Consider the following 19737-nt stretch of genomic DNA (forward strand, 5'->3'; position numbering starts at 1 on the left):
CAGAGCAAGTCAAGGATGCTCAGTGTCACCACACCTATTCAACATACTACTGGAAGTTCTAGCTAGAGCAATCAGTTAATAGAAAAGGCATCCAAATAGGAAAAGAAGTAAAACTATCTCTGCAGACAACATGATTTTATACATAGAAAACCTCAAAGCCCCAAAGCTCCTAGATTAGATACAAAACTTCAACAAAGTTTCAGTATAAAAAGTCAGTCTGTAACTTAGCATTTCTATACAGCACCAACATCAAAGCTCAGAATTGAATCAGGAAGGCAAACCCATTCACAATAGCCACAAAAAGCATAAATCACCCAGGAACACATTTAACCAGGAAGGTGAAAGATCACTATAAGGAGAATTACAAAACACTACTGAAGGAAATCATAGATGACACAAATAGGAAGAAATGACATTGTTAAAATGGCCATAATCCCCAAAGCAATTTATACATTAATTGCTATTCAAACTACCAATGACATTCTTTGCAGAATTAATACAACCTTTAAAAATTCATATGGAGTGAAAAAGTCCTAATAGCCAAGGCAATTCTAGACAAAAAACAAACTTGGAAGCATAACATTACCTGAATTTGAAAGTATTCTACAAGATTACAGTAACCATAACAGCATGGTACCGGTATAAAAGTAGACATGGAGGCCAATGGAGCAGAATATAGAACACAAAGCTGTACACCAACAGTCATCTGCTTCTCAACAAAGTTGACAAAACAAGCAATGAAGACAGGACTTCCTGTTCAATAAATGGTGCTGGCATAACTGACTACGTATATATTCAAGGTTGACACTGGACCGCTTCCTTACATTACATATAATGACTCAATATAGATTAAGGGCTTAAATGTAAAATATAATACCATAAAAATGCTAAAATATAACTTAGGAAATACCATGCTGAACATAGGTTCTGAAAAATATTTATGATGAAGACTCCAAATGCAATTACAGCAAAAACAAAAATTGACAAATAGAACCTAGTTAAACTATAGAGATTCTGCACAGCAAGAGAATCTATCAATGGTGAACACAATGTACAGAATGGGAGAAATATCTGCAAATTATGCATCTGACAAAGTTCTAATATCCAGAATTTATAAGCTACTTAAATTCATGGGGAGAAAACCACATTGAAAATATGAAAAAGTACATAGACATTTTTTCAAAGGAAGACATGCATACAGCTAGGAGTCATATGACAAAATGCTGAACATCACTAATCTATAGAGAAATGCTAATTAAAACCACAATGCAATTCTGTCTTACACCAACCAGAATGGCTGTTACTAAAAAGTCAAAAATAGTACGTTGTCGAATCTACAGATAAAAGGGAATGCTTATGGATTGCTCGTTGAATTGTAAATTATTTCATCCATTGTGGATAGCAGCTTGGTGATTTTGCCAATAACAAGAACATCAAACAGAAATACCATTTGATGCAGGAATCCCATTATTGGTTTTATACCAAAAGGAGTATAGATTTTAGGACCATAAAGACACATGAATGTGCATGTCAATTGGAGCACTCTTCATAATAGTGAAGATATGAAGTGAAGCTTAACACCCACTGATGGCTGACCATATGAAGAAAACATACATGTACACCATGGTACACTACAACATCATAAAAAAGAATGAAATTATGTCCTTTGCACCAACATGGTTGAACTATTTTGAAAATACGTGGCAGCAATGTCAAATCATCAGAAGAAAAGGAACCATATGATTTTGTAAATGGGCAAATAGAGTAACCATTTCTCCAAAGAATACACAAACATGACCAAGAAGTAACTGAAAAAAAACCACAAGTCAAAACCACAATGTGAGATTCTCTCACTGCAGTTCAAATAGCTGTTATCAAAAGGACAAATAATGCTGTCAAGCAAGAAGGCAAAAGGGATCTCTGATAACACTGTTGGGGGAGTCTTGCTCTGTATTCCAGGCTGGAGTGCAGTGGCATGATCTCGGTTCACTGCAACTTTTGCCTTCCAGATTCAAGCAATTTTCCTGCCCCAGCCTCCCAAGTAGCTGGGATTATAGGCATATGCCACCACACCTAGCTAATTTTTGTATTTTTAGTAGAGGCAGAGTTTCACCATGTTGGCCAGGCTGGTCTCCAACTCCTGACCTCAGGTGATCCACCCGCCTTGGCCTCCCAAAGTGCCGGGATTACAGGTGTGAGCCACCACGCCCAGCCAATATTCACGGTTTTCTAAAACAATTAGTTGATAAAACTACCATACTATTCAGCATTTCTTCCATGGGCTACATCCAAAAGAAGGGATGTAAATATATTGAAGAGATAGCTGCACTGATATGTTTATGGCAGTATTTACAATCACTAGGATATAGAATCACCCTGTGTGTCCATCAGTTGATGAATGGATAAAGAAAGTGTGGTATGTATACACAATAGAATGAATATTCAGTCATACTTAAGAATGACATCCTGTCACTTGCAACTACATGTATGGAACAGTAGGACATAATAAGTAAAATAAGCCAGGCATGGAAAGACTGTGTATTCTCACTCATTTGTGGTAGGTACAAAGAACCTATGGATTTAGAGGGTGGAATGACGGTTATCAGTAATGGGTTGATGTGTTAGGAAAAGGAAATAAGGAGGGTATGGTTAAGGAGTACAAAATGCCATTTGAAAGTAGGAATAAGATCTGTTTTGCGGGAGAACAATAGGACAGCTATAGTAAATAATTATTGTATATTTGAAAGTAATTACAAGAGTAGAAGTTGATTGTTCCTAACACAGAGAAATGATGAATGCTCGAGGGAATGTATATCTCCATTACCTTGTTTTGATTGTTGCACATGACACATTTGTATTGCAATATCATGTGTCCCATATATATGTACATATATACAACTATCATGTCCCAATAATATTTAAGCATATGTGATTTTTATAAACAAGTGAACTAGTTAGGGGTAGATAAATCTAAAATAAAAACAAGCATAAATCTATATATAACAAGTCTACAGCTAATATAATGAACAATTGAAATTCCTTCCTCTAATATCTGGAACAGGATAGGATGCCCACTTTCACCACTTTTATTCCATATAACATTCTATCCAGAGCTATTAGGCAAGTGAAAGAAATAATGGGCATCCAAATGAAGAGAAGTTAAATAATATTGCTGCAGGATTCTAAGGAGCAATACAGAAATTTTTAGCATTTACATTTGCCAACAGTGAAAAATCTGAAAAAGAACTCAAGAAAGCAATCTCATTTGGAATCTCTACAAAAAAATCAAATAGTCAAACTTTGAAGTCATGAAACATCCCTACAAGGTATTGAGGGAACCGGCCCCCAATATTTCAATGTAGGTTCTTTTCTATTTTTCCTAAGTGTTGGCCGGTCTGAGAAATAAAGGGTAAGAGTACAAAAGAGAGAAATTTTAAAGCTGGGTGTCTGGGGAAGACATCACATGTCAGCAGGTTCTGTGATGCCCCGAGCCACAAAACCAGCAAGTTTTTATTAGCGATTTTCAAAGGGGAGAGAGTGTACGAATAGGGTGTGGATCACAGAGATCACATGCTTCAAAGGCAATAAAATATCACAAGGCAAATGGGCAGGGCAAGGTCACAAGGCCAGGGTGAAACTAGAATTGCTGATGAAGTTTCATGTCCCACTGTGCATGCATTGTCATTGATAAACATCTTAACAGGAAACAGAGTTCAAGAGCAGAGAACCAGTCTGACTAGAATTTGCCAGGCTGGAATTTCCTAATCCTAGCAAGCCTGGGGGTGCTGCAGGAGACCAGGGCATGTTTCATCCCCATCTACAACTGCATAAGGCAGACACTCCCAGAGCGGCCATTTTAGAGGCCTCCCCCTGGGAATGCATTCTTTTCCCAGGGCTGTTAATTATTAATATTCCTTACTGGGGAAAGAATTCAGCGATATTTCTCTTACCCATTTTCGGCAATAAGAGAAATATGACTCTGTCCTGCCTGGCTCCCAGGCAGTCAAACCTAATGGTTATCTCCCTTGTTCCCCGAACATCGCTGTTATCCTGTCCTTTTTTTCAAGGTGCCCAGATTTCATGTTGTTCAAACACACATGCTTTACAAACAACGTGTGCAGTTAACACAATCATCACAGGGTCCTGAGGCGACATACATCCTCAGCTTACGAAGACAACAGGATTAAGAGATTAAAGACAGGCATAGGAGATTATAAGAGTATTGATTGGGGAAGTGATAAATGTCCATGAAATCTTCACAATTTATATTTAGAGATTGCAGTAAAGACAGGCGTAAGAAATTATAAAAGTATTAATTTGGGAACAAACAAATGTCCATGAAATCTTTACAATTTATGTTCTTCTGCCATGGCTTCAGCAGGTCCCTCCATTTGGGGTCCCTGACTTCCCGCAACAAAAAGGAAAACATTGATAATGGAAACTGAATAGGACACAATGAAATGGGAAATTATTCATAATTAAAATATCATTACTGCCTAAAGCAGTCTGCAGATTCATTCTTTTTGTATCAAAAATCAATGATATTCCTCATAGAAATAGAAAAAGAATTCATAAAATTCATGAGACCACAGGAGATACTGAGTATCAAAAGTAATCCTGAGGAAAAGCAAAGATGAAGACATCATACTACTTCAAAAGATACTACAATGTCATTGTAAACACAATGTGATGATATTGGCATGATATACACGTAGATCAGTGGGATGAAATCAAGAACCCAGTGATAAATACAGACATTTACAAAAAATTCATTTTTAAAAATCACCATAAATATATGTTGTGGAAAGGATAGTGCTTTCAATGAAAGTTGCTGGGAAAACTTGGTAATCATATGCAGAAGAATGAATCTTACCATATGTAAAAATAAAATTAATATGGGTTAAGTGCTTATGTCTGAAACTATAAAAAGTGGTAGATAAAATCTTTGTATAAATGCTTCTGGATATTTGTCTAGGCAAAGATATTTTGGTAAGCTCTGAAAAGCAGAGGCAACAAAAGCAAAAATAGACATAAGTTCATACATCTAGCTAAAATGCTTTTGCACAATAGAGGTAACAAAATAGTGAAACCAAAATTATAATGGGAAAAAACCTGATAACTATGTTTTTTACAGCGATGAGAATATATATTCATATCATCAGAAGGCAAGCAAATAATCTGATTTTAAAGGATAGATTAAAAGAAGGCATAAGTTGCCAACAGGTATATGTAAAATTTTTCATCATCACTAATCATCATGGAAGTGCAATTTCAAGCCACAATGGAATGTTGTGCAATTAAAACAAATATCTAAAAGACAACAGATGGTGTTGAGCATGCATACAATTGGTTATGCTCATGTACTGTTTCTGAGAATGTAAATTTGTATAGCCATTCTTGAAAACAGTATTGTGTTGTCTCATAAAACAAATGATGTAACCACTATACTGTGTCAATTCCACTACTCAGTATTTATCACAATGAAAGGTATCAGTATATTAGGAGGATATTTTCATCCATCTCCTTATTGCAGCTCTATTCACAATAGCTTTTGAATTAACCTGAAAGTTCATCAAGGGATGCATGGAAAATGGCAATATTATATATATGCACTATTGAAAATTGTTAATTAAAAGGAACAAAATCATATCACTTTCAGTAATATGACTGGAATTGGAGGTCATTATGGTAAGTGAAAGAAGCCAAGCACAAAAAAATAAACACTGCGTGTTCTCATGTATATGTTAAAATATAAAATAGTTGATCTGCTTGGTGCGCAGAGTTGATTGCTGGTTACTGAATGATCTTCTATTCAAGGGGGGAAGACAACAATTTTGACTAATGAGTACAAAAACAAGTAGAATAAATAAGTCCTAATATTTGATAGTACAGTAAGGTGACAACAGTAAACAGTATTTCATGTTATTGTTTAAGGTTGCTGAAATAATAGAGGAATTATAATGTTCCTAACATAAAAAGAGACTAATGTTTGGGGTGATGCATGTTTCAACTACCCTAGTTCAATTACTACTGACTGTATTCATGTATCAAAATACCACATGTACCCTCTAAAATGTACAACTTTTATGTATCCAGGTGAATATTCAAAATTCAGAGATTAGTGTGAAAATGTTACCGCTTATTTTTCCATCAAAATTGTTATTAAAATAGCTTATCAGGTGTTTTTGTTGTCTCATGGAACCACCAAATATCTATAGTAGATACACAAAAAATAAAAAGTAAGACATTTTACAACACCACAAGATTAAAAAATAATTACAAGATAGTGGGAGAATAAAAAAATGAAGGAAGGATCTAGTAATAAACAAGAAAGCAATTTACAAACATTTCTTTAAATATTAACAATATTTTGAATCTAAATGGAATAAATTCTTCATTAAAAATAGAGTAGCAGAATGGATATTATAAAATACTGCCTATAAGACACTCACTTCACTTGTAAGGACACATGGACTGAAAGTAATGGGATGAAAAACTATTGTATAGAAATCGAAAGCAAACGAGTATCAGTAGCTAAACTTATTCCATCAAACTATACATGAAGCCAGAAACCATAAAATTTGGGAAATAAGTTTATTACATAATGGTAAAAGGGGTTAATTCAGCAAGAGGTTATAGTAATTGTAAATACATATATACCCAAAACAGAAGTGCTCAATCATATAAAACAAATATAATAACTTCTGAGTGGACAGATAGATTGCCATACAATAATAATAGGGGACTTAAGTACTGAAGTTTCAGCAATGGGCAGATCATCTGGATCTGACTTACACTACATCTGGCTTACACTACACTTTATGCCAAATAAAGCAAACTGACGTATACAGAATACTTCGTCTAACAGCGGCACAATCTACATTCTTCTCTGCAGAAGATGGATCTTTGCGTAGGCCTTATGTTACGAATCAAGACTAGTTTTACATTTAATAATACAGAAATTATACCACATTTTTAAGCACATTGCATGAACCTAGGAACTATTAGTAGAATGAACATTAGAATGTTCACAAACACATAGAAATTAAACAATATGCTTTTGAATAATGAATGGGTGAATCATTAAATCCAAATGGAAGTTAAAAAATATTTTGACAAATGAAAGATGAAACACAAAACACCAATATTTGTGATACCAGAAAAGTACTTAAAAAATAACCTTATGTTACACCTGAAGCAACTATTAATATAATGGGAAGAACAAACAGTCCAAATTTTACAGAAGGAAGCATATAATAAAGAGCAGCGTAGAATAAATGAAAAAATTTGTACTCATACAACGTACGCAAATCCAGTCATGAGAAAGAATATCTGAAGAGACCAATAACAAGTAAATTGTATCCATAATAAAAATCTCCTATCAAATATATGCCCATAGTGCTTCACTGGTAATTTCTGTCAAACCTAATTCCACTTTATATTAAGAGGATTACTTGCCATGTTCAAATGGGATTTGTCCCTCTGAGGCAAGGATGTTTTAAATAGTCTTATAAAGGAGGAGGGACACCGCCATTTGATCATCTCAATAGATTTAAAAATAAAACAGTTTTATAGAATTTGATATAATAAAAGCTGTCAACCAATTAGGCATAGAAGGAATGTATCTTTATACCATATAGGCAGTAAATGAAATACCCACAACTAACATCATAATCAATGAAGAAAACATGAAATATTTTCTTCGGAGGTAAAGAAGCCAATTATGCCCACTCTCAGCACCTCATTCAACCTAGTTCGGGATGTTCTAGCCAGTACAGTTAGGCAAGAGAAGGAAATTAAAGGCATTCAGATCGGAAAAGAGGGAGGCAAACTGGGTCTGTGTGGAGATGACCTGAACTTATGTGTAGAAAATACACTCTCCTGGCCGGGCGCGGTGGTTCACGCCTGTAATCCCAGCACTTTGGGAGGCCAAGGCGGGTGGATCATGAGGTCAGGAGATCGAGACCATCCTGGCTAACACGGTGAAACCCCGTCTCTACTAAAAGAAAAACAAAAAAATAAATTAGCTGGGGGTGGTGGCGGGCGCTTGTAGTCCCAGCTACTCAGGAGGCTGAGGCAGGAGAATGACATGAACCTGGGAGGCGGAGCTTGCAGTGAGCCAAGATCGTGCCACTGCACTCCAGCCTGGGTGACAGAGCAAGACTCTGTCTCAAAAAAAAAAAAAAAAAGAAAGAAAGAAAGAAAATACACTCTCCCCTTAAAACCTTTTGGAAGTGATAAAGAAATTCAGTAAAATTGCATAATACAAAACAGCCATACAAAAACCTGTAGCATTTCTATATCCCACCAGTGGGTAATTTCAAAAAGAAAACAAGAAATGAGTCTCATTGACAATAGCTTACAAAAGTACCGAGGAAGAGATCTGAACAAGCCAAAGATTTCTGTAATGAAAACTCTTTAAAAAATAATTCATTTTGTAATAAAAGCATTGAAGGAAGAAATTGACGACACAAATGAGTAGAAATATATTTTATATTTATGTGTTAGAATAATTTATATCTTAAAATATATATACTACTCAAAGCAATCTATTGATCTGTGCATCCCTATTAAATTTCTGATGTTATGTTAGTTTTGTCTATAAACAGAAGAAAATAATTCTGAAATTGTATGGAGCAACAAAAATCTTAAATGAAAAAATATTAAAGAAAATGAGGAGATCCAGGGTAATTGAAGTATCTGGCTTTAATATAGACTACAAAATTATAGTAACCAGAACAGCATTGTCTGGCATAAGACAGACACAGACACAACTGGAACAGAGTAGAAAGGAAATAAACTAAAGCTCCTAAACATAACTGATTCTTCACAAAGTTGCCAGGAGCACACTTCAGGGAAAATAAAACATTTACCGTGTAAATGGTACTGGGAAAATTTGATAATTACATGCAAAAGAATTAGATTAGAAGTCTACATCTAAAAATACACAAAAATTAACTCCCAATTGAATAAAGAATTAAATGTAAAATTGGAAACTATGAAACTTCTTGAAGAAAATGGGGGAAATGATTCATGATATTTTGCTGGGCAAGGATTTAGAAATGAGACCTGAACTTTTCAGGGAATAAAAGGAAAAATAACCAAATGAGAGTATATCAAAGTTTAAAGCTTTTGCACAGCGAAAGAGTATTAAAAGAGTGAGGAGTCATCGCTTCTCGGCCTTTGTGGAAGTCAGTGTGGCAATTCCTCAGGGATCTAGAACTAGAAATACCATTTGACCCAGCCATCCCATTACTGGGTATATACCCAAAGGACTATAAATCATGCTGCTATAAAGATACATGCACATGTATGTTTATTGTGGCACTATTCACAATAGCAAAGACTTGGAACCAACCCAAATGTCCAACAATGATAGACTGGATTAAGAAAATGTGGCATATATACACCATGGAATACTATGCAGCCATAAAAAAGGATGAGTTCATGTCCTTTGTAGGGACATGGATGAAATTGGAAATCATCATTCTCAGTAAACTATCGCAAGGACAAAAAACCAAACACTGCATGTTCTCACTCATAGGTGGGAATTGAACAATGAGAACACATGGACACAGGAAGGGGAACATCACACTCTGGGGACTGTTGTGGGGTGGGGGGAGGGGGGAGGGATAGCATTGGGAGGTATACCTAATGCTAAATGACGAGTTAATGGGCGCAGCACACCAGCATGGCACATGTATACATATGTAACTAACCTGCACATTGTGCACATGTACCCTAAAACTTAAAGTATAATAATAATAAAAAATAAAAGAGTGAGGAGTCAATTTACAGTATTGGAGAAAATATTTGCAAACAGTATATGTGACAAAGAGTTAAGAAGATATAACCAACGTAATTCAATAGCAAGAAAAAAGTAATATGAATTTTAAAAAATTGGCAAAAATTGCTGGCTGCTTCACTCCTGGAACCTTCACTAACCAGATCCAGGCAGCCTTCCGGGAGCCATGGCTTGTGGTTACTGACCCCAGGGCTGACCACCAGCCTCTCACGGAGGCATCTTATGTTAACCAACTTACCATTGCTCTGTGTAACACAGATTCTCCTCTGTGATACGTGGACATTGCCATCCCATGCAACAACAAGGGAGCTCACTCAGTGGGTTTGATGTGGTGGATGCTGGCTCGGGAAGTTCTGCGCATGCGTGGCACCATTTCCCGTGAACACCCGTGGGAGTTCATGCCTGATCTCTACTTCTACAGAGATCCTGAAGAGATTGCAAAAGAAGAGCAGGCTGCTGCTGAAAAGTGACCAAGGAGGAATCCTGTAATTTGCAATAACATGAATAAATTTTGAAGACAGCATTTTAACTGTAATAAGCTAGATACTGAATGACTAATGCTGTATTATCTTACTCAAATGGATACTAAGAAAATAAAAATTTGATATCCTAAGGTCAGAGAGTAGAACTGTGGTTACAATAGACAGGGGAGGGGCCTTTGATTTGGCCATTAGGTACAAAGTGACAATTAGAGAAGACTAGTAAATTATTCTGTTCTTTCACACACTATCATGACTATGGTTAAATGTAAAATACTGTATATTTCAAAAGAGTTAGAATAGACACTTTTCAATGTTTTCACCACTAAGAAATGATAACTGCATGTGATTGGATTAATATGCAACCTAAATACATACGAAAACATCACACTAAATTCAATAAATATATGCAATTATAATTTTGAGATAATGAAAAAGAAAAATTAAAAAATTATGACAAGCAGAGGCCAATATCTATGATGAACATAGACACACAAATGCTCTACAACAAACTAGCAACCTGAATTCAACACTGCATTAAACATTTTATTTTTCATAATCAAGCGGTATTCATCCCAGTGATGCAAAAATGATTGTATATATGGAAATTAATGTTATGCATTACACTAAGAGAACAAAGGATTAAAACCATATGATCATCTCAGTCAATATCATAAAAGCATTTGAGAATATTTATAATTTTTTCATGGTAACAACTCAAACATTTAGGCAAAGAATTGGGTCTCCCTATTCCCTGAGACAGAACCACACTGAAAATAGGACAAACAGTAACCCTGAAATGGCCTCTAACAATGATTGAACTTAGTGAGGAAGGAATGTTGAAGGCTGAGTGGCTGAAATCTAGGCCACTAGTGCAATAAATCCCATGATTTTAAAACCTAGAGCTAACATGTTATTCAGAGGGGAAAACATAAAAGCTTTTCCTCAAATAAAAAACACATCACAAATGCCCAATCTCATCACTTGCATTCAACATAGTACTGGAAGTTTTCACCACAGCAATAAGGCAAGAAAATAAAAAGCATTTAACTTGGAAAGAGTTATTATTTATTTATTTATTTATTTTTTAAACATGACATGATCATATGTACAGAAAACTCTTAAGAATTTCACCAAAAACAAGTCTACAAAAGGAATTAAATATCACTGGAGGAGACAAATGCAACAAAAACAAATTAGTAATATTTCTATAATGAAACAGCAAGCTATCTGACACAAATCAAGAAAACAATCCCATTTACAATATCTAACAAAAAATAAAATATTTAGAATTAAATTACCCAAGGAATTTTAATGCCTACACACCAAATATTAAAAATTTTTACTTTTATTGCATGTGGCTTTATTATGTTTCTCAGATATCATGGTGGGTTTTTTTTTTAAACCCACCCATGTGGCAACCCTCCATCCAGCAAGTCAGTTGGTGCCATTTTTTCCAGCAGCATTGTGTTGACTTTGTGTCTCTATACCACATTTTGTTAATTTTCCACTTTTCTTTATCATTGTTAGGTATAGTAAGTGAACTTTCTTCAGAATTCTTATTACCATTTTTATTATGATATTGAACTATGAATCTCACTTAGGTAAAATCATGAACTTAATCAGCAAATGTGTTCTGACTGCTTTTCTGATGAGTTGTTACCTCATCTTCTTTCTCCACCTAGGGCCTCCCTATTGCCTGAGACAGAAACATACTGAATATAGGAGACACAGTAATCCTGAAATGGCCTCTAGTTGTTTAAGTGGTAGGAAGACTTGCACTTTCTTCACCTTATATCAAAATCTCAAAATGATTAAACTTAGTGAGGAAGGCACATGGCAGGCTGAGTGGCTGAAGTCTAGGCCTCTTGCACCAAATAGCAAAGTTGTGGAAGCAAAGGAAAAGTTCTTGAAAAAAATTAAAAGTGTTACTTCACTAAACACATATATATTGAGAAAGCCAAACAGCCTTATTGCTGATATGGAGAACATTTTAGTGATTCATATAGAATATCAAACAAGTTATAACATACCATCAAGCCAACGCCTAATCCAGAGCAAGGCCCTATGTCTTTTCAATTATCTGGAAATGGAGTGCCGGTGGATTTTTTTTCTTTATTGTTATACTTTAAGTTCTAGGGTACATGTGCACAACATGCAGGTTTGTTACATATGTATACATGTGCCATGTTGGTGTGCTGCACCCATTAACTCGTCATTTACATTAGGTATATCTCCTAATGCTATCTCTCCCCCTCCCCCCACCCCACAACAGGCCCCAGTGTGTGATGTTCCCCTTCCTGTGTCCATGTGTTCTCATTGTTCAATTCCCACCTATGAGTGAGAACATGCAGTGTTTGTTTTTTTGTCCTTGTGATAGTTTGCTGAGAGTAATGGTTTCCAGCTTCATCCATGTCCCTACAAAGGACATGAACTCATCCTTTTTTATGGCTGCATAGTATTCCATGGTGTATATGTGCCACATTTTCTTAATCCAGTCTATCACTGATGGACATTTGGATTGGTTCCAAGTCTTTGCTATTGTGAATAGTGCCACAATAAACATACGTGTGCATGTGTCTTTATAGCAGCATGATTTATAATCCTTTGGGTACATACCCAGTAATGGGATTGCTGGGTCAAATGGTATTTCTAGTTCTAGATCCCTGAGGAATTGCCACACTGTCTTCCACAATGGTTGAACTAGTTTACAGTCCCACCAACAGTGTAAAAGTGTTCCTATTTCTCCACATCCTCTCCAGCACCTGTTGTTTCCTGACTTTTTAATGATTGCCATTCTAACTGGTGTGAGATGGTATCCCATTGTGGTTTTGATTTGCATTTCTCTGATGGCCAGTGATGATGAGCATTTTTTCATATGTCTGTTGGCTGCATAAAAGTCTTCTTTAGAGAAGTGTCTGTTCATATCCTTTGCCACTTTTTGATGGGGTTGTTTTTTTCTTGTAAATTGGTTTGAGTTCTTTGTAGATTCTGGGTATTAGCCCTTTGTCAGATGAGTAGATTGCAAAAATTTTCTCCCATTCTGTAGGTTGCCTGTTCACTCTGATGGTAGTTTCCTTTGCTGTGCAGGAGCTCTTTAGTTTAATTAGATCCCATCTGTCAATTTTGGCTTTTGTTGCCATTGCTTTTGGTGTTTTAGACATGAAGTCATTGCCCATGCCTATGTCCTGCATGGTATTTCCTAGGATTTCTTCTAGGGTTTTTATGGCTTTAGGTCTAACATTTAAGTCTTTAATCCATCTTGAATTAATTTTTGTATAAGGTGTAAGGAAGGCATCCAGTTTCAGCTTTCTACATATGGCTAGCCAGTTTTCCCAGCACCATTTATTAAATAGGGAATCCTTTCCCCATTGCTCGTTTTTTGTCAGGTTTGTCAAAGATCAGATGGTTGTAGATGTGTGGTATTATTTCTGAGGGCTCCAATCTGTTCCATTGGTCTATATCTCTGTTTTGGTACCAGTACCATGCTGTTTTGGTTACTGTGGCCTTGTAGTATAGTTTGAAGTCAGGTAGCGTGATGCCTCCAGCTTTGTTCTTTTGGCTTAGGATTGACTTGGCAATGTGGGCCCTTTTTTGGTTCCATATGAACGTTAAAGTAGTTTTTTCCAATTCTGTGAAGAAAGTCATTGGTAGCTTGATGGGGATGGCATTGAATCTATAAATTACCTTGGGCAGTATGGCCATTTTCAGGATATTGATTCTTCCCATCCATTTGCATGAAATGTTCTTCCATTTGTTTGTATCCTCTTTTCTTTTGCTGAGCAGTGGTTTGTAGTTCTTCTTGAAGAGGTCCTTCACATCCCTTGTAAGTTGGATTCCTAGGTATTTTATTCTCTTTGAAGCAATTGTGAATGGGAGTTCACTCATGATTTGGCTCTGTCTCTGTTATTGGTGTATAAGAATGCTTGTGATTTTTGCACATTGATTTTGTATCCTGAGACTTTGCTGAAGATGCTTATCAGCTTGAGGAGATTTTGGGCTGAGACAATGGGGTTTTCTAGATATACAATCATGTCATCTGCAAACAGGGACAATTTGACTTCCTCTTTTCCTAATAGAATACCCTTTATTTCTTTCTCCTGCCTGATTGCCCTGGCCAGAACTTCCAACACTATGTTGAATAGGAGTGGTGAGAGAGGGCATCCCTGTCTTGTGCCAGTTTTCAAAGGGAATGCTTCCAGTTTTTGCCCATTCAGTATGATATTTCCTGTGGGTTTGTCATAAATAGCTCTTATTATTTTGAGATACATCCCATCAATACCTAATTTATTGAGAGTTTTTAGCATGAAGCGTTGTTGAATTTTGTCAAAGGCCTTTTCTGCATCTATTGAGATAATCATATGGTTTTTGTCGTTGGTTCTGTTTATATGCTGGATTACGTTTACTGATTTGCGTATGTTGAACCAGCCTTGCATCCCAGGGATGAAGCCCACTTGATTATGGTGGATAAGCTTTTTGATGTGCTGCTGGATTCCGTTTGCCAATATTTTATTGAGGATTTTTGCATCGATGTTCATCAGGGATATTGGTCTAAAATTCTCTTTTTTTGTTGTGTCTCTGCCAGGCTTTGGCATCAGGATGATGCCGGCCTCATAAAATGAGTTAAGGAGGATTCCCTCTTTTTCTATTGATTGGAATAATTTCAGAGGGAATGGTACAAGCTCCGCCTTGTACCTCTGGTAGAATTCGGCTGTGAATCCATCTGGTCCTGGACTTTTTTTGGTTGGTCAGCTATTAATTATTGCCTCAATTTCAGAGCCTGTTATTGGTGTATTCAGAGATTCAACTTCTTCCTGGTTTAGTCTTGGGAGGGTATATGTGTTGAGGAATTTATCCATTTCTTCTAGATTTTCTAGTTTATTTGTGTAGAGGTGTTTATAGTATTCTCTGATGGCAGTTTGTATTTCTGTGGGATCGGTGGTGATATCCCCTTTATCATTTTTTATTGCATCTATTTGATTCTTCTCTCTTTTCTTTTCTTCTTTATTACTTTTGCTAGTGGTCTATCCATTTTGTTGATCTTTTCAAAAAACCACGTCCTGGATTCATTGATTTTTTGAAGGGTTTTTTGTGTCTCTATCTCCTTCAGTTCTGCTCTGATCTTAGTTATTTCTTGCCTTCTGCTAGCTTTTGAATGTGTTTGCTCTTGCTTCTCTAGTTCTTTTATTTGTGATGTTAGGGTGTCAATTTTAGATCTTTCCTGCCTTCTCTCGTGGGCATTTAGTGCTATAAATTTCCCTCTACACACTGCTTTCAATGTGTCCCAGAGATTCTGGTATGTTGTGTCTTTGTTCTCCTTGGTTTCAAAGAACATCTTTATTTCTGCCTTCATTTTGTTGTGTACCCAGTAGTCATTCAGGAGCAGGTTGTTCAGTTTCCATGTAGTTGAACAGATTTGAGTAAGTTTCTTAATCCTGAGTTCTAATTTGATTGCACTGTGGTCTGAGAGACAGTTTGTTATAATTTCTGTTGTTTTACATTTGCTGAGGAGTGCTTTACTTCCAATTATGTGGTCGATTTAGGAAGGTGTGATGTGGTGCTGAGAAGAATGTATATTCTGTTGATTTGGGGTGGAGAGTTCTGTAGATGTCTATTAGGTCCGCTTGGTGCAGAGCTGAGTTCAATTCCTGGATATCCTTTTTAACTTTCTGTCTCGTTGATCTGTCTAATGTTGACAGTGGGGTGTTAAAGTCTCCCATTATTATTGTGTGGGAGTCTAAGTCTCTTTGTAGGTCTCTAAGGACTTGCTTCATGAATCTGGGTGCTCCGGTATTGGGTGCATATATATTTAGGATAGTTAGCTCTTCTTGTTGAATTGATCCCTTTACCATTATGTAATGGCCTTCTTTGTCTCTTTTGATCTTTGTTGATTTAAAGTCTGTTTTATCAGAGACTAGGATTGCAACCCCTGCCTTTTTTTGTTTTCCATTTGCTTGGTAGATTTTCCTCCATCCCTTTATTTTGAGCCTATGTGTGTCTCTGCACTTGAGATGGGTTTTCTGAATACAGCACACTGATGGGTCTTGACTGTTTATCCAATTTGCCAGTCTGTGCCTTTTAATTGGGAGCATTTAGCCCATTTTCATTTAAGGTTAATATTATTATGTGTGAATTGGATACTGTCATTATGATGTTAACTGGTTATTTTGCTCGTTAGTTGATGCAGTTTCTTCCTAGCCTCGATGGTCTTTACAATTCGGCTTGTTTTTGCAGTGGCTGGTACCGGTTGTTCCTTTCCATGTTTAGTGCTTCCTTCAGGAGCTCTTTTAGGGCAGGCCTGGTGGTGACAAAATCTCTAAGCATTTGCTTGTCTGTAAAGGATTTTATTTCTCCTTCACTTATGAAGCTTAGTTTGGCTGGATATGAAATTCTGGGTTGAAAATTCTTTTCTTTAAGAATGTTGAATATTGACCTCCACTCTCTTTTGGCTTGTAGAGTTTCTGCCGAGAGATCCACTGTTAGTCTGATGGGCTTCCCTTTGTGGGTAACCCGACCTTTCTCTCTGGCTGCCCTAAGACTTTTTCCTTCATTTCAACTTTGGTGAGTCTGACAATTATGTGTCTTGGAGTTGCTCTTCTTGAGGAGTATCTTTGTGGCATTCTCTGTATTTCCTGAATTTGAATGTTGGCCTGCCTTCCTAGGTTGGGGAAGTTCTCCTGGATAATATCCTGCAGAGTGTTTTCCAACTTGGTTCCATTCTCCCCGTCACTTTCAGGTACACCAATCAGACGTAGATTTGGTCTTTTCACATAGTCCTATATTTCTTGGAGGCTTTCTTCATTTCTTTTTATTCTTTTTTCTCTAAATTTCTCATTTCATTTCATTCATTTGATCTTCAATCCCTGATACCCTTTCTTCCAGTTGATGAAATCGGTTACTGAAGCTTGTGCATTCGTCACGTAGTTCTCGTGCCATGGTTTTCAGCTCCATCAGGTCCTTTAAGGACTTCTCTACACTGGTTATTCTAGTTAGCCATTCATCTAATCTTTTTTCAAGGTTTTTAACTTTTTCGTGATGGGTTCGAACTTCCTCCTGTATCTCAGAGAAGTTTGATTTTCTGAAGCCTTCTTCTCTCTATTCGTCAAGGTCATTCTCCCTCCAGCTTTGTTCCACTGCTGGTGAGGAGGTGCATTCCTTTCGAGGAGGAGAGGTGCTCTGATTTTTAGAATTTTCAGTTTTTCTGCTCTGTTATTTCCCCATCTTTGTGGTTTTATCTACCTTTGGTCTTTGATGATGGTGACGTACAGATGGGGTTTTGGTGTGCATGTCCTTTCTGTTTGTTAGTTTTCCTTCTAACAGTCAGGACACTCAGCTGCAGGTCTGTTGGAGTTTGCCGGAGGTCCACTCCAGACCCTGTTTGCCTGGATATCAGCAGCAGAGGCTGCAGAACAGCGAATATTGCTGAACAGCAAATGTTGCTGCCTGATCATTCCTCTGGAAGTTTCATCTCAGAGGGGTACCTGGCCGTGTGAGGTGTCAGTCTGCCCCTACTGGGGGGGTGCCTCCCAGTTAGGCTACTCCGGGCTCAGGGACCTACTTGAGGAGTCAGTCTGTCCATTTTCAGATTTCAAACTCTGTGCTGGGAGAACCACCACTCTCTTCATAGCTGTCAGACAGGGACATTTTAAGTCTTCAGACGTTTCTGCTGCCTTTTGTTCGGCTATGCCCTGCCCCCAGAGGTGGAGTCTACAGAGGCAGGCAGGCCTCCTTGAGCTGCGGTGGGCTCCACCCAGTTCGAGCTTCCCAGCCACTTTGTTTACCTACTCAAGCCTCAGCAATGGTGGGTGCCCCTCCCCCAGCCTCACTGCCGCCTTGCAGTTCGATCTCAGACTGCTGTGCTAGGAATGAGTGAGGCTCTGTGGGCATGGGACCCTCTGAGCCAGGTGTAGGATATAATCTCCTGGTGTTCCGTTTCCTAAGACCATTGGAAAAGCACAGTATTAGGGTGGGAGTGACCCGATTTTCCAGGTGCTGTCTGTCACAGCTTTGCTTGGCTAGGAAAGGGAATTCCCTGACCCCTTGCACTTCGTGGGTGAGGCAATGCCTCGCCCTGCTTCGGCTCATGCTCGGGGCACTGCACCCACTTTCCTGCACCCAGTGTCCGACAAGCCACAGTGAGATGAACCTGGTACCTTAGTTGGAAATGCAGAAATCACCCATCTTCTGCATCGCTCATGCTGGGAGCTGTAGACTGGAGCTGTTCCTATTCGGCCATCTTCTTTTTTTGTTTGTTTGTTTTTTTGTTTTTTTTTTTTTTTATTTTGAATTGGTTCATGGTTCCACAGGCTATACAGGAAGCATCCCTGGGCATGCCTCAGGAAATTTTCAGTCATGGTAGAAAGGGAAGCAAGCACATCTTACATGGCTGGAGCAGGAGGAAGAGAGTGAAGTGGGAGGTGCTACACACTTTTAAACAATCAGATCTCGTGAGAACTCACTATCATGAGAACAGCTAGTGGGAAATGTGCTTCCATGATCCAATTACCTCCCAGCAGGCCCCTCCCGCAACATTGGGGATTACAATTTGACATGATATTTGGGTGGAAACACAAATCCAAACCACATCGCCAACTCAAATTAACTTCTGTCTATGGTATAAGGTAGGAGACAACATTGTTATTTTCCATACTGATGTCTAGTTGTTCAACACCATTTGTTAAAAAGACTTTCTTTTCCCATTGGATTGCTTTGGCACCTTTGTCTGTATGTTAATTAACCATACAAGGATGGATCTATTTTGGTTTCTGTTCTTCTTTTTTTTAATACTGTAAGTTCTGGGGTGCATGTGCAGAATGTGCAGGTTTGTTACATAGGTATACATGTGCCATGGTGGTTTGCTGCACCTATCAACTTGTCATCTACATTAGGTATTTCTCTTAATGCTATCCCACCTCTAGTGCCCCACCTCCCCAACAGGCCCCAGTGTGTGATGTTCCACTCCCTGTGTCCATGTGTTCTCATTGTTCAACTCCCATTTATGAGTGAGAACATGCAGTGTTTGGTTTTCTGTTCTTGTTAGTTTGCTAAGAATGATGGTTTCTAGCCTCATCCATGTCCCTGCAAAGGACATGAATTCATCCTTTTTTATGGCTGCATAGTATTCCATGGTAGATATGTGCAACAATTTTTTTATCCAATCTATCATTGATGGGCATTTGGGTTGGCTCCAAGTCTTTGCTATTGTGAATAGTGCCACAATGAACATATGTGTGCATGTGTCTTTATAGTAGAATGACTTACAATCCTTTGGGTATATACTCAGTAATGGGATTGCTTGGTCAAATGGTATTTCTAATTCTAGATCCTTGAGGAATCACCACACTATCTTCCATAATGGTTGAACTAATTTACACTCCCACCAACAGTGTAAAAGTGTTCCTATTTCTCCACAGCCTCTCCAGCATCTGTTGTTTCCCGACTTTTTAATGATCG

At 37.6% G+C, this 19737-nt stretch overlaps 2 long non-coding RNA genes and 1 pseudogene across 2 annotated transcripts in view; 2 read left to right on the forward strand and 1 right to left on the reverse strand.

Annotated features, from left to right (window-relative positions):
- The window catches only part of JPX (JPX transcript, XIST activator), a 126061-nt gene that overhangs the window by 77229 nt on the left and 29095 nt on the right, over positions 1-19737 (forward strand). The gene's annotated exons all lie outside the window — the stretch shown is intronic.
- The window catches only part of FTX (FTX transcript, XIST regulator), a 265439-nt gene continuing 252285 nt past the window's right edge, over positions 6584-19737 (reverse strand). The window contains exons 6-7 of the long non-coding RNA NR_028379.1: positions 10044-10288; positions 6584-7999 (exon numbers count right to left, since the gene is read on the reverse strand). This is a non-coding gene — a long non-coding RNA (FTX transcript, XIST regulator). The remainder of the gene's footprint in view (positions 8000-10043; positions 10289-19737) is intronic.
- RPSAP14 (ribosomal protein SA pseudogene 14) lies at positions 9909-10287 on the forward strand (annotated as a pseudogene).

The sequence above is a fragment of the Homo sapiens genome, chromosome X, assembly GCF_000001405.40.
Source record: "Homo sapiens chromosome X, GRCh38.p14 Primary Assembly".
Classification (NCBI taxonomy): Eukaryota; Metazoa; Chordata; class Mammalia; order Primates; family Hominidae; genus Homo; species Homo sapiens.